The sequence below is a fragment of the Homo sapiens genome, chromosome 8 (genome assembly GCF_000001405.40).
Source record: "Homo sapiens chromosome 8, GRCh38.p14 Primary Assembly".
NCBI classification, from domain to species: domain Eukaryota; kingdom Metazoa; phylum Chordata; class Mammalia; order Primates; family Hominidae; genus Homo; species Homo sapiens.
The window spans coordinates 7,295,610-7,308,774 of NC_000008.11; the positions used below are offsets into that span (position 1 = coordinate 7,295,610).

General features: G+C 44.8%; 1 protein-coding gene and 1 long non-coding RNA gene across 2 annotated transcripts in view; one reads left to right on the forward strand and one right to left on the reverse strand.

Annotated features, from left to right (window-relative positions):
* The window catches only part of FAM90A20 (family with sequence similarity 90 member A20), a 3,011-nt gene extending 596 nt beyond the window's left edge, over positions 1-2,415 (forward strand). Inside the window, exons 2-4 of the mRNA NM_001423532.1 lie at positions 22-221; positions 680-788; positions 1,453-2,415. Of these exons, the coding sequence (NP_001410461.1) occupies positions 22-221; positions 680-788; positions 1,453-2,415 (1,272 nt within the window). The remainder of the gene's footprint in view (positions 1-21; positions 222-679; positions 789-1,452) is intronic.
* Positions 2,416-3,134: 719 nt separating this feature from the next.
* FAM66B (family with sequence similarity 66 member B) overlaps positions 3,135-13,165 on the reverse strand; it is a 56,620-nt gene continuing 46,589 nt past the window's right edge. The window contains exon 7 of the long non-coding RNA NR_027423.2: positions 3,135-6,562. This is a non-coding gene — a long non-coding RNA (family with sequence similarity 66 member B). The remainder of the gene's footprint in view (positions 6,563-13,165) is intronic.

A 13,165-nucleotide genomic window follows, 5' to 3' on the forward strand; every position in this document is an offset into this window, starting at 1 on the left:
TCACTTCCTTTCCACCCACAGCTCAAGTGCAAAAACTGCGGGGCCTTTGGCCACACGGCCAGAAGTACCAGGTGCCCCATGAAGTGCTGGAAGGCAGCCCTGGTTCCAGCGACCTTGGGGAAAAAGGAAGGGAAGGAAAACCTGAAACCATGGAAGCCTGGGGTTGAAGCCAACCCGGGGCCCTTGAACAAGGATAAGGGAGAGAAGGAAGAGAGACCAAGGTGAGCAGTGGGAGGGGTTTTCACCACTCTTAGGGTACTGCCTCCTAAGGACATGGTGTCTCTGCACCTGCACACCGTGTGCCTTTCCGTCTCCGGGCCAGGGAAGGAACGCTGCAGAGAAATAGGCCGGAGCTCCGTGTCCTCCGGGGTTCCACACCCAGGAGCTCCTTGGGCTCTGGGAGATTCAGGGACGGGGAGAGGCGGGGGCGCTTCATGCAGGTTCCCCACGACAGGGGGAAAAGCAATGGAATCCAAATCACAGTCCTTAGTTGGGAAGCCTAGAGGGCCACCTGGAGGATGGGAAGGTTGGCACGTGAGGGAAGGTGCAGAGGCGGAAAGGGCACCAGATTTCCATTTCTGTATCACAAGACACGGAATGGGGCTGGGCCCCAGACGGGGTTCTCCCTGTCTCCTGGGGAAAACCAGGGGGCACGGCCTGACCTTTTTCTGTTCTGCAGGCAACAAGACCCGCAGAGGAAGGCTCTCCTCCACATGTTTTCCGGGAAACCTCCAGAGAAGCCGCTGCCGAATGGAAAAGGATCCACGGAATCTTCTGATTATCTGAGGGTGAGTGTCACCCCGGGCCCCTGGTCCTTTTATCCTCTAGGTAACCCTGGTTGATTTCCTTTCAGCTTCCCGTCTGCGGGAGGAAATCGGGGAACCCCTCTTTCTTGTCTTCTTGGGGTCAGGGCCTCCACGATCCTTGCAGGTCAGTTTGATTCCAGGCGAAGTCATCTGAAGATGCCGTATTTCCTGTGGCTTTCTTTCTGTCCAATTATGGCAAGCCTGCCAACAACACGTTCCTAGCGGCATGAGGAAATTAGTCCCTCAGAGGCCGCAAACGTGGAGAAGGCTAAACCCAGGAACATGCATGTGTTCATAGAAGACGTCCCGAGTACCCTTGAGCCACCAACCTGCCTTCGGAAAGCCATTAGTCCGTTCCACTTCATGGAAGGCTGAGTGGAGGCACTTTGATCCAGTTAATGCCCAAGACGCAATCTTTTGAACAATGGTGTGCTTAGATCAGCTACACATAGCTCGATAGCGCATCGTTCATGTGTCTTTTCCTGATCAGCACTCAGGTGGAGGGTCTGTCCCTACTTCCAAGGACCGCCTGTCGATACTGTACTAAGAATTTCATGGTGTGTGCACCTTGTCTTTGGATGTGTTTGATTTTCATGTTGGCTCCATGCTGAGGAACTTCTAACCTGTGTTGTTTCCTCTCTTTCAGGTTGCAAGGGGGCCAATGCCGGTCCACACAACCTGTAAGAGGCCGCGCATGGACCCTGTCCTCTCTGGTCGCTCAGCTACCGAAATGTCTGGCAGGGGCTCCGTCTTGGCTTCACTGTCTCCCCTCAGAAAAGCCAGTCTGAGCTCCTCCTCAAGTCTTGGACCAAAGGAAAGACAGACAGGGGCTGCCGCCGACATCCCTCGGCCTGCAGTCAGGCACCAGGTCCACGAGACTCTCCTCGTGGTGGAGCCGACACACAGCAGCCCTGAGGGTAGCTGCCGAGAAGTTCCCCAGGCTGCCTCCAAAACCCACGGCCTGCTCCAGGCCGTCAGAACCCAGGCACAAGACAAACGTCCTGCGGTGACCTCACAGCCCTGCCCATCAGCCGCCACACACAGCTTGGGCCTAGGCTCCAATCTCAGCTTTGGGTCAGGAGCCAAGAGACCTGCCCAGGCTCCGATTCAGGCTTGCCTGAACTTCCCCAAGAAACCGAGACTGGGTCCCTTCCAGATCCCCGAAAGCACCATCCAGGGAGGTGAGCTGGGGGCCCCGGAGAATCTCCAACCTCCACCAGCCGCAACCGAACTTGGACCAAGTAGGTCGCCCCAGATGGGCAGGAGGACACCGGCCCAGGTGCCCAGCGTTGAACGGCAGCCTCCGCACCGCAGACCTTGCCTGCCTACTGCCCAGGCCTGCACCATGTCCCATCACCCAGCGGCCAGCCATGATGGGGCCCAGCCTCTCAGAGTGCTCTTCCGGAGACTGGAAAACGGACGCTGGAGCTCCAGCCTCCTGGCGGCCCCCTCATTTCACTCTCCTGAGAAGCCGGGAGCCTTCCTCGCTCAGAGCCCTCATGTGTCAGAGAAGTCTGAGGCTCCCTGTGTTCGTGTCCCACCGAGCGTCCTCTATGAGGACCTTCAGGTTTCCTCCTCCTCAGAGGACAGCGATTCTGACCTGGAGTGAGACTGCAGGTGGCAGGGGCTCCTTGGCCTCCAGCTCCCGTGACTTGGAGGGGACTGTGGGACTGAGGAGCGCAGAGCAGAGAGCAGACTCTGCGCTGACTTCGATGCTCCCCGGCTGTCGCGCTTCTGTGGATGTGGGAGCCCAGGCCAGGCAGAGAACAGATGCAGGGACTCTGCCTCATTGAATTCTGGTGAGGGACATTGTATTTCGCATGGGTCTCCAGAAACGCACCAGGAAAAGCTTCCGCGTCAGTGATTCTTTGCGTCAGAAACTGCGTGATGCGCTGGAGTCAGACTTCCGCTGGGACGTCAATAGGAAACTAGGGAATTACTGTGTATTTGCTCTTTAGATGACTGAATAAGGGAAAAGTTAGGGAACCCTGAGAGGTGCAGCCCTTCCTCTGTGCTCCGCCTTGAGAGCAGTGTTTCGGACGCTGGGAAGCGTGCTGTGCAAAGTGCTCTCGGGGTCTTTCCTCAGCCTCGAAAACTGGGCTCTGGAATGCCTTTGTAAATATGTGTGTTGAATTTGTTTTGAAGTGAATAAAATTCTCAAAAAGATGACATATTGTCTTTTGACTCTCATTCCGTGTTTGTGTTTAACTGATTTTCCAAGTGTAGGGATCGCCTGCCCCTCCACACCTGTGGGTGTTTCTAGTCGGGTGGGATGAGAGACGGAGAAAAGAAATAAGACACAGAGGCAAAGTATAGGGAGACAAAAGTGGGTCCAGGGGACCGGCACTCAGCACACCAAGGACCTGCACCGGCACCGGCCTCTGAGTTCCCTCATTTTTAATTGATTATGATTTTCATTATTTCAGCAAAAAGGAATGTAGTAGGAGAGCAGGGTGATAATAAAGAGAAGGTCAACCAAAAAAACATGTGAGCAAAGCAATCTATATCATAATTAAGTTCAAGGGAAGGTACTATGCCTGGACGTGCACGTAGGCCAGATTTATGTTTCTCTCCACCCAAACATCTCAGCGGAGTAAAGAATAACAGGGCAGCATTACTGCCAACATGTCTCGCCTCGCGCCACAGGGCAGCTTTTCTCCTAGCTCAGAGTTGAACAAATGTACGATCGGATTTTACACCGAGACATTCAGCTCCCAGGGGCGAGCAGGAGACAGTGGCCTTCCTCCATCTCAACTACAAGAGGCTTTCCTCTTTGACTAATCCACCTCAGCACAGACGCTTTACCGGTGTCAGGCTAGGGGACAGTCAGGTCTTTTTTATCCCACAAGGCCATATTTCAGAGTATCGCATCGGGAGAAACCTTGGACAATGCCCTACTTTCAAGGGCAGACGTCCCTGCAGCTTTCCACGGTGCATTGTGCCCCTGGTTTATTGAGACTAGAGAATGGCCACGACTTTTACCAAGTATACGGCTTGTAAACATTTGGTTAACAAGGCACGTCCTGCACAGCCCTAGATCCCTTAAGCCTTGATTTTATACAACACAGGTTTTTGTGAGCTCCAAGTTGGGTCAAAGCGGCTGGGGCAAAGTGCCTGGGGCAAAGCTACAAATGAACAACATCTCAGCAAAGCAATTGTTTAAAGTACAGGTCTTTTCCAAAATGGAGTCTCTTATGTCTTCCCTTTCGACATAGACACAGTGACAGTCTGATCTCTCTTTCTTTTCCCTACATCCAAGGGCTTGAACATTTCTTGACTTGTTAGCAATCCAAATCGTTATGTCTCCGAAACAGAGTTGACTGAGGGGACCGCACGGCTGGGCAGGACCTTTGACTTCGTATACATCCACAGGAGAAAGAGAACCTCAGCCCCACTCTACCAACACGCACCTAGTAAAATTCCGCCAACTGAATCTCACGCACGCTAACACGTGGGGAGCGTTGCTTGCACCGCGAGTCCCCATTTGGCTCAACCGCCTATGCCAAGTGTGTGGTTCCGGTTGCGACGGCCCCCCGTGAAGTGGCTTCCGGATGTGCGAATGAACCAGGCAGAGTTTCACTGACCAAATAGTCCCCAGCAAAGCTGTAGTTAACTCCCAGATTTGGGATGTACTTCAGAGGTAAAACATTCATCCCATCTTCTTTCCGGATGTCTGACACCGGGCCTTTCCATGGTTCTCCCACTGATCCTAAGAGTAGCTGAGGTAGAGACTCACTGAAAGATCTAGGCAGGGATATCTCATCATGCACAGACTCTCTCTATTCTCTGACCTGGGAACAACTCTGAGCAGGATTCCACATCTAGGAGGCCTCGGAACTGAGCGGTATTTTCTGAGACACACTGAATGGCTGCTCCCTTTCCGCCGCTGTTGAGGGTCGTTATCTTGATTATCCAGATCACCTAGAAAGTATCCGTATCCAGAATCAATAAGATCTACTCTCTGCTCCTCTGACAGCAGAAGCAGCAGGACCACAATGAACCAAAGAGCGTGGAAGGAAACGATGTGACCGGAAAGCTCAGAGAACGGCCACAGGGAGTCGTAAGCAGGCCTTCCAAACTGAATCATGAATAATTAATGAAGCGCAAATCAAAGGGGACTCGAGTTTCAGCAGGTGCAATTCATCCAAAGGGAGATCGCCGGAGGGCCAACAAGATTGAGAAACTGGGAGTCGGGTGCAGTGTCAAGGGGGACGCGACTGGTTCCAAAGCTCGAGAAGACCATGGGGTCACTTGGGCTACATGAGAAAATGCCCCAGTGTGCTGGTTCATCATTCCGACTCCTGCCTGTCTCTTCCCGTCCAAGGAACATGGACCCTAACTCGTGCAGTTCCAGATGACTATGGGCAGAATTAGGGGCCGTGGCCCAAAAGTTCACCGACATGGGGGTTCCACAGAAGGTGAGGTGGATCTTTGCAAATCCAGAGAAATGACAATAGGACCCAGGGAATTAGAGCCTCACAGGCGTCCGGGAGACTTTTCAGGTATAATGTCTGGTGTCGCAAGACGAGCTGAAAAGGGAGCCAGGCACTGAAAGACAAAGCGGTGTTGACTTTCTTCATCTGTGTTTCCCAAAGCAGTCCAATTCACTTTGGTAGAATTCATGTATTTATTTTCCGTTGGCTTGTAGTTGCAAACTTTTGATGTTATTGATTTTTGGTTGGAGAGTTTCGGTTTGAAAAAGTAGATATTCTGAATATGGAGGTTGTCCAAGATTGTATCTCAAGGTGAGTCTACTTGATTCCAGCGAACCATACTTTGACATATAATACATATGTTTTAATTATATTTTGTCTGTTTTAAAACAGCTTAAAAAATCACTTCGTGGAAAATGTCACTTAGATACACCAATGTTAACTTTCTCATCACATGTCCAGAGGCACTGTAAAATTCATTCTAGAATGCAAAATTCCCAGCCACTTCTACGTGGAACTTTCTGCAGAATGGGATTGTATCCAGTTTTCAGGGGGCGCAGGTGTGGTACGAGCTGGTCCTTGGTTTCCTGCTGAAGTTGGAATCCTGCAGATTGCTTAGGGGCGGTTTCCACCTGTCCCTTCTTTCCAGGTCATCACTAACCTTTCCTGATCCCCCATGGGGACTCAGAACTTATCTAGAGTCACAGGCCCACCTGGGATGCTGCCCTTGAGCCTCTGTGCTGTCCATGATGGTTCCATGCCACTGATCTGCTGGGACACATTCTGCAGAGGGATGGGCTTGCATGAGCTGTCCCTGCCTTTCTGAAAATCACAGAGATTTCTGGTGTCTGAAGCCACATAGAAATATCTGTGGAGTCTCGGGAAGGCCAGGGATGCCATTCACAGGCTGCTGTTCTTCCTCTTAATGGCAGCAAGAGTGATTTCTGAGTTTCCTAATTGACTTCGAAATAATTTTGTTGATTTTGTTGTGACAAAGACCACTCCTCTTTCTGTGGCATCCAGTTCACCTGTAGGGTTTTTTGGGATTATGTGGAAACTCTTGCATTTTTCCAGAGCCTCAATTCATCCTGGATGTTCTCAGGAATGCACTAGCTGATCCCTGCCTTGGTGGCATCTTGAAACATTGAGGGAGGCCCCTTAGGTCCATGAGGCACAAGGAGGTCCATCAGGAATTGAGGGGGCATGTGTCTGCCCATCTGTAGCTGGAACTTCCATTTGCCTTCAGAATGCAGGTTCTTCCTGAACTAATAAATTATCTTCATCTTGGTGTAAGTAGCCACAATATAATAATTCATAGTAACTCTATTAATAAAAATAACTGAATATCAACAATGAAGGTAATAATGACAATGTTAATTATTATAATATTAATAGTAAAAATAAAACAAAGGCAATATAGATTACGGATTCCCCTAAGTGAAGGACAATGTCCAGATATAGGGACACATGTGTCGTTTGCACTCAGAGTCAAATGAAACGTGTTCCTCAAAGGCAAAGGACAAGCAGCATAAGGAAAACACAACGTTCATGGATGATCACATGGGCTACCTTGGAACTCATGTGGAAAGACTGCAGGCAAAGTGTATCTGGTACTGGGACTGCTCACCAGCCAGCCCCCACCCACCTTCATGAGGTAGGACAGCAGGATAATGGGGAAGGGGTCCATGCAAGGGATGCAAGGCTCGTGTCACACCTGATTCAAAGAAGCACTGCTTCTGACAGATGTTTATCTCCTAACACTGTGTCACCTCTAACTGCCTGGCTGCATGTCTGCCATCTGTTCTTCTTAGGTCACAGGAGGGACAGACATTACTGTCCACCTATCTGCATACAGAGCCATTGGAGGCTATTACCCTTGTTGCTTCCTCTTTGGAAAGGGGCAACATACATGCCAGATGCCATTCTCTGTCTCTTTGGAAAACTTTGTCAGCACATTTAAGGTTTTCTTCAGCCACAGAAAGCCACCTGCTTCAAAGTCTCATCCTCCACAAGTGGCAAGCACACAATCATTAATGGAGGCAAGGGGTACATAGGCTTTGCCATTTGATTCAGTTGGGACAATAGGGGAGGACTTCTTAGCTCTACAGCTCTGTCCGTGTGGCCAGCTGACAATGTCAGGCTGCACTGCGATTAGACTTGTCCCTTTGCACATAAGGCTTCCCTCCAATCCTTTCCACAGATGTGGATCCTCACATCACTTCCTAATATACATCCTGCACACTAAACTTCATCTATATCCAGTTCCCTGGGAACCAAACCTGTGACAAAAGTGAAAAGTTTCTAGGGAAAATAGGGTTTCCTCATCAGACAGGAATCAAATGCTGCTGAGCTAGAAAATAAAGTAAAGTCTGATGCCATCTCCTGATTTTTTTAATTAGGACATTAGCACTGCCAGCAAGAATTATGTGCATCAATTTGTGGGGACAAACATCATGTTGGAGTGGGATGAGGTTGCTGTGAGTTGAGGAGAAATGCTGGTGAATGGACTTTACCCTCAACTTGGATTCAGGAGAGGACATAAAAACAGCTGGAAATAAAAGGTGTCCGAAAACATTTTTCTGGTTTTTCAAAACTTCCAATTTCAGGTTGGGAGACACTATGTTTAAATTCTAAAGGGATGTAGCATGCTGAGAAGAAATAACTATAAACAAGGTGTCCATTTTATGAATAATACAATTTATGGTATGACAGAAGACCAAGGGACATAACACAAATTTGGAGTTAAAGAAATTAACAGACATTCTCAATAATTCCTCAGCTATTATGGCAGAGATGCTGGGACAATGGATGTCCATGTAGCAGTACTTTTTTTTTTTTTTTTTTTTTTTTGGGAGACGGAGTCTCACTCTGTAACCAGGCTGCCCTGCAATGGCGCAATCTTGGCTCACCGCAACCTCTGCCTCCCGGGTTCAAGCAATCCTCCTGCCTCAGCCTCCCGAGTAGCTGGGACTACAGGCACACACTACCACACTCAGCTAATTTTTGTATTTTTAGTACAGATGGGTTTTCACCATGTTGGCTAGGATGGTCTCAGTTTCCTGATCTCGTGATCTGCCTGCTTTGGCCTCCCAAAGGGTTGGGATTACAGGTGTGAGCCACCATGGTTGGCCCTTGTAGCAGTACTTTTGAACTTAATGGCTGAAAGTATCCACCTCCAAACTTACATATTATATCTGCAAAAGAGTACAAACCATGTGATGAATTTCAAAGGGAAGACAAGCCTGTGGGAATTCAACAGCCATGGCAATGCTTTGAACTTCTTTTTCTTAAACATGTAAGAAGTAAGTGAAGTTCAAGACCTAACAGAATTGCCAGGAATTATTTGAGGAATTACCAAGATGACCATAGACACTATGAAATCCTTACGATGCCCTCTGCTGGAGTTTCCTCCTACAGCCAGCGATTTTAAGCCAGAAGAAAATGTCTCTGCAGGCATAAGAGTTCAACCCAAATGTACTATTCAATTTTAAATGTGATGACAATAAAATTATGTGCTATATAGCAACAACTTTTTTTTTCTTTCAGACAGAGTCTTTCTCTGTTGCCTAGGCTGGAATGCAGTGGGGCACTCTTGGCTCACTGCAATCTCTGCCTCCTGTGTTCAAGTGATTTTCCCACCTTTTTCACAATGTATCCTTATCCTCAAACTCATCCTCCTAAGTAGCTGGGATTATAGGCATGTGCCACCATGTCTGGCTGATTTTTGTATCAGCAAAATTATTTCTGGGGTGGAGAGTTAGGAATCTTTTTTCTCCCACACCCAAAAACATGTTGTCCAAATGATCTGTCAATAGAAATAATTGATACCTATATTTGCTAACCTACCTTTTTCTTTCTTTAAATTCAGAACTAGAGTATAGAAAAGGATATTAAGAAGGTTCTCTTAATTTTCAACACAAGTTATGGGCTAGGCACTGTGCTAGGTGCTACAGATACGCACTAATATACCCACAATAGTTTTGCCTTATTGCCTTCTATGTTCTAATAATACACCAAAAGAAAAGTATAGATTAGCTTTTTATTTTTTTGAGATGGAGGTTAATTCTCTCACCCAGGATGGAATGCAGAGGTGGGATCTTGGCTCACTGCACTTTCTGCCTCCTGGGTTCAAGTGATTCTCCTGCCTCAGCCTCCTGAGTAGCTGGGATTACAGGCACGTGCCACGATACCCAGAAAATTTTTGTATTTTTCAGAAAGACAGCTTTCATCATGTTGGCCAGGCAGGTCTCAAACCCCTGGCCTCAAGTGATCCACCCATCTTGGCCTTCCAAACTGCTGGGATTACAGGCATGAGCCATAATGCCCAGCCACAGAGAATAGCTTTAAATAGAATGTATGAAACCAAAAGAAACGTATGCTCATCAATTTTATACTGTATTTGGCCAGGTGCAGAATATCGACTTGTAGTAATGTAAGGGAATAAGGTCAATTCACATCTAATTGTTTGGACAAGTCACCAGAAATCAAAAGTTGGAGGAGTTGTATCTTTTGAGGTGGGTTGCACAGGCAAGCAGCAAGTTGCTATCTCTCCAAAGTCCTAAACTGTTCTATTTGTCCTACTGTGGAAAAATGAGTCTTCAACTTGATTTCAATTTATATAGGAAAATGCTTAATAAAACTAATAAGGGCTACATTCCAGGACACAGCCAGACCACACATATACTGAAACTTGATTCTAGAGACACCTCCTCTTCAATGTAATTGGATTTTCAAGACAACAAAAATATAACTCTGACACAATATTGGAGAGCCAAAAGGAAAGGACAATTTGGGTTGAAATTTTTTCTTTTAAAAATGTGTCCTTGAGTTCTATTAACAATAGCTAAAGCCTAGGAACAGCTCAAATGTCTATTGAGAGGAAATTGATAAATTATATGCATATTATAGAGTAATATTTAGCAATAAAGGGGAAAAATCAACTCTATGAATCAACATCATGATCATGGATCAATATAATCTTTCTAACCCCGATTGGGGAAAGCTAAGCTAAAAAGTGTCCTATAATATAAATAAATGTATACAAAATTCTAGAACAGACAAACCTAATATAAGCTAAAAAAGTTCAGGAAAGTCAGGTGCAGTGGCTCATGCCTGTTATGTCAGCACTTTGTGAGGTGGGTGGATCGCATGAACCCAGGAGTTCAAGACCAGCCTGGCCAACATGTTGAAGCTACCCCATCTTTACCAAAAATACAAAAGTTAGCCCAGTATGGTGTGGTACACAGGAACAGAAAACCAAATACTACATATTCTCATGTATAAGTGAGAGCTAAACATTGGGTTATACACTGTTTAGCTCTCACTTATATGGAAACAACAGACACTGGAGATTCTTAGAGAGAGGAGGGAGGGTTGGGTGCAAGGCCTGAAAAACTAACTATTGGGTATTATGTTCACTAAGTGTGTGATGAGATCATTCATACTGTAAACCTCAGCAGCACACAATACATCCATGTAACAAACCTGCACATGTATCCTCTGTGTCTAAAATAAAAATTGAAAAAGTAAAAAATGAACAAAGATATATGAGCAGGCATTTCTCGAAAAAGGAGATACAAATGGACAACATATATATAAACAATTCTTACCCTCTCTAGTCATCACGGGAATGCAAATGAAAACTACCAAGAAATATCACCTCACACCTGTTAGAATAGCTATTATCAAAAAGATGGATGATAACAAGTGTTGGTAAGGATGTGGAGAAAAGGGAACCTTTGTATACTGGTGGTGGGAATGTAAATTAGTATGGCCACCTTGGAAAACAGTATGGACGTTTCTCAAAAAATTAACAATAAAAATACCATTTTGTTCCAGCAATCCCACTTATTTTATATATAATATATATATCTATATATATACATATATAGATATATAGATATATATATATGAAGTCACGAAATCAGTATGTGAAAGAGTTATCTGCGCTCCTATGCTCCTTTCAGCACTGCTCACAATAGTCAAGATCTATGAAGAAGACATACATGTTATCATTCATTCATGGACGGCTGAATTATTGTTTTATATATATATATATATATATATATGTACAATGGAATATTATTCAGTATTATATAATAATGAAACCCTGTCATTTGTGACAACATTGATGGATCTGAAAGGCATGAAGTCATGTGAAATAAACCAAACACAGAATGACAAATACTGTATGATTCCCCTTGTATTTGAAATCTCAAAAAAACAAACTCAGAAGCAGAGGGTAGACTGACCAAGAACTGTGGTGCAGGTAAGTGTGTAGGTGTGATTACAGTACAAAGTTTTAGATATATCACATAAATAAGTTCAGGAGGTCTAATTTATAGCATAGTGCTTATAGCTATGAATACTGCATTGCATACTTAAAATATAATAGGAGGGTGAATTTTATGTTAATTATTCTTACCAATAAAAATAATAATTAGAATGGGAGGGAGAACTTTGGGAGGTGATGAATATGTTTATAATCTTGATGGTAGTGATGCTTTCACAATGTATCCTTATTCTCAAACTCACTGAGATATACACATTAAATAGGTACAGCTTTTTGAATGTAATCATGTCTCAACAAAGTGTTTTTAAGGGGGGTTGGTTAAAAAATTTAAAAAGGAAGGGTAGATGTTCCTTTGCCCTTCTCTCATGGATTTTTCTCCCTGCTGTCTAGAGTTCAGGAATAATAGGTGGGAATTTAGCAGCCAAACTAGGACCTTTTCTAAAGTATAGCAGAGCAGAGAGCCGGAAGGGACCTGCATCCCTAATGATATTAGAAAGTATCTGTACTAGCCCTGAATGGTATAACTACAGGTTAATTTTAAGTGAAAAAGAAATCAACTTCTGCTTTGCTTAAGCAAACTTATTCAGGCATTAATTTTATAAACATGTAGAGAATATATACTCCTTATGAGCAGAAACAATGTTTGTGCCATATGGTACATGATGGGTGTTCAATAATGTGTGATGATGATAATAATGAACACAATAGTGATACATAAAAGAAAATAAAAAGCAGTGAAACAAAGTGGTTTAATAAAGATACATAGTTATTTTGTTGAAAGATTCTGCTGCTAATATTATTCAATACTTTTGTATGCTGGTGCAAGTAAGGAAATTTACATTGTCTAATAAAAATTATTTATCAATTTATAAAACAGTAAATATTTCATAGAATGGGGCTATGAATCTGCATTGCAAACTAACACTTTCAGTTGATTTTATGCACAGTAATTATTGAGAATCCCCTTATCTAGATCCAACGGATCTGGACCTACATAGGTGCTACCAAAACTTAAGGAAGAAAATTTTCCTGACTCTATCCATACCTCCAGTTAGTAATACATCTAGAGATTTAGAACTGAAATCCAGACATCCTGCTTCCATGTGCAGTGACCTTTCACTGTCCTGTTTTGCTTCACTTGATGAAGAGGATTTGAGAATAAATGACCACATGATTCAACTCCTCCTCAGCTCTGAGGAATATAGCCCTGTCCTGGCAAACAAGAAGCTCCTGCAGTAGTAGAGGGGGCAAATATATGTTCACTAATCTAACATACAAGGCAGTAGGCACTGTACCATAAACAAGGCACTGTGGGGATTCAGACCAGGGGCAAAGTGGGGATTAATAGGGCAAGTAAAGTCTGGGAAGTGTTCACTAACAAAATGTCTAATCATTAAACTAAACGGTTTCTCAACATGGCCTAATTAATTGTAACAATATAAATGGTTGTTTGTTCATAAACCTTAATCTTTTGCCAAAATATTTGTAGCTTATGTTCCCATTTAACAAGGTTTTCTGGTCAAAACTGTGCACCCACATCATTCTAATGAACTTAGTGTCCAATAAAACATGGACTCTCAGTCGTCTCATGAAGGTCATTTTGTGTGCATAGTACATCTCTGTGAATATGCCTA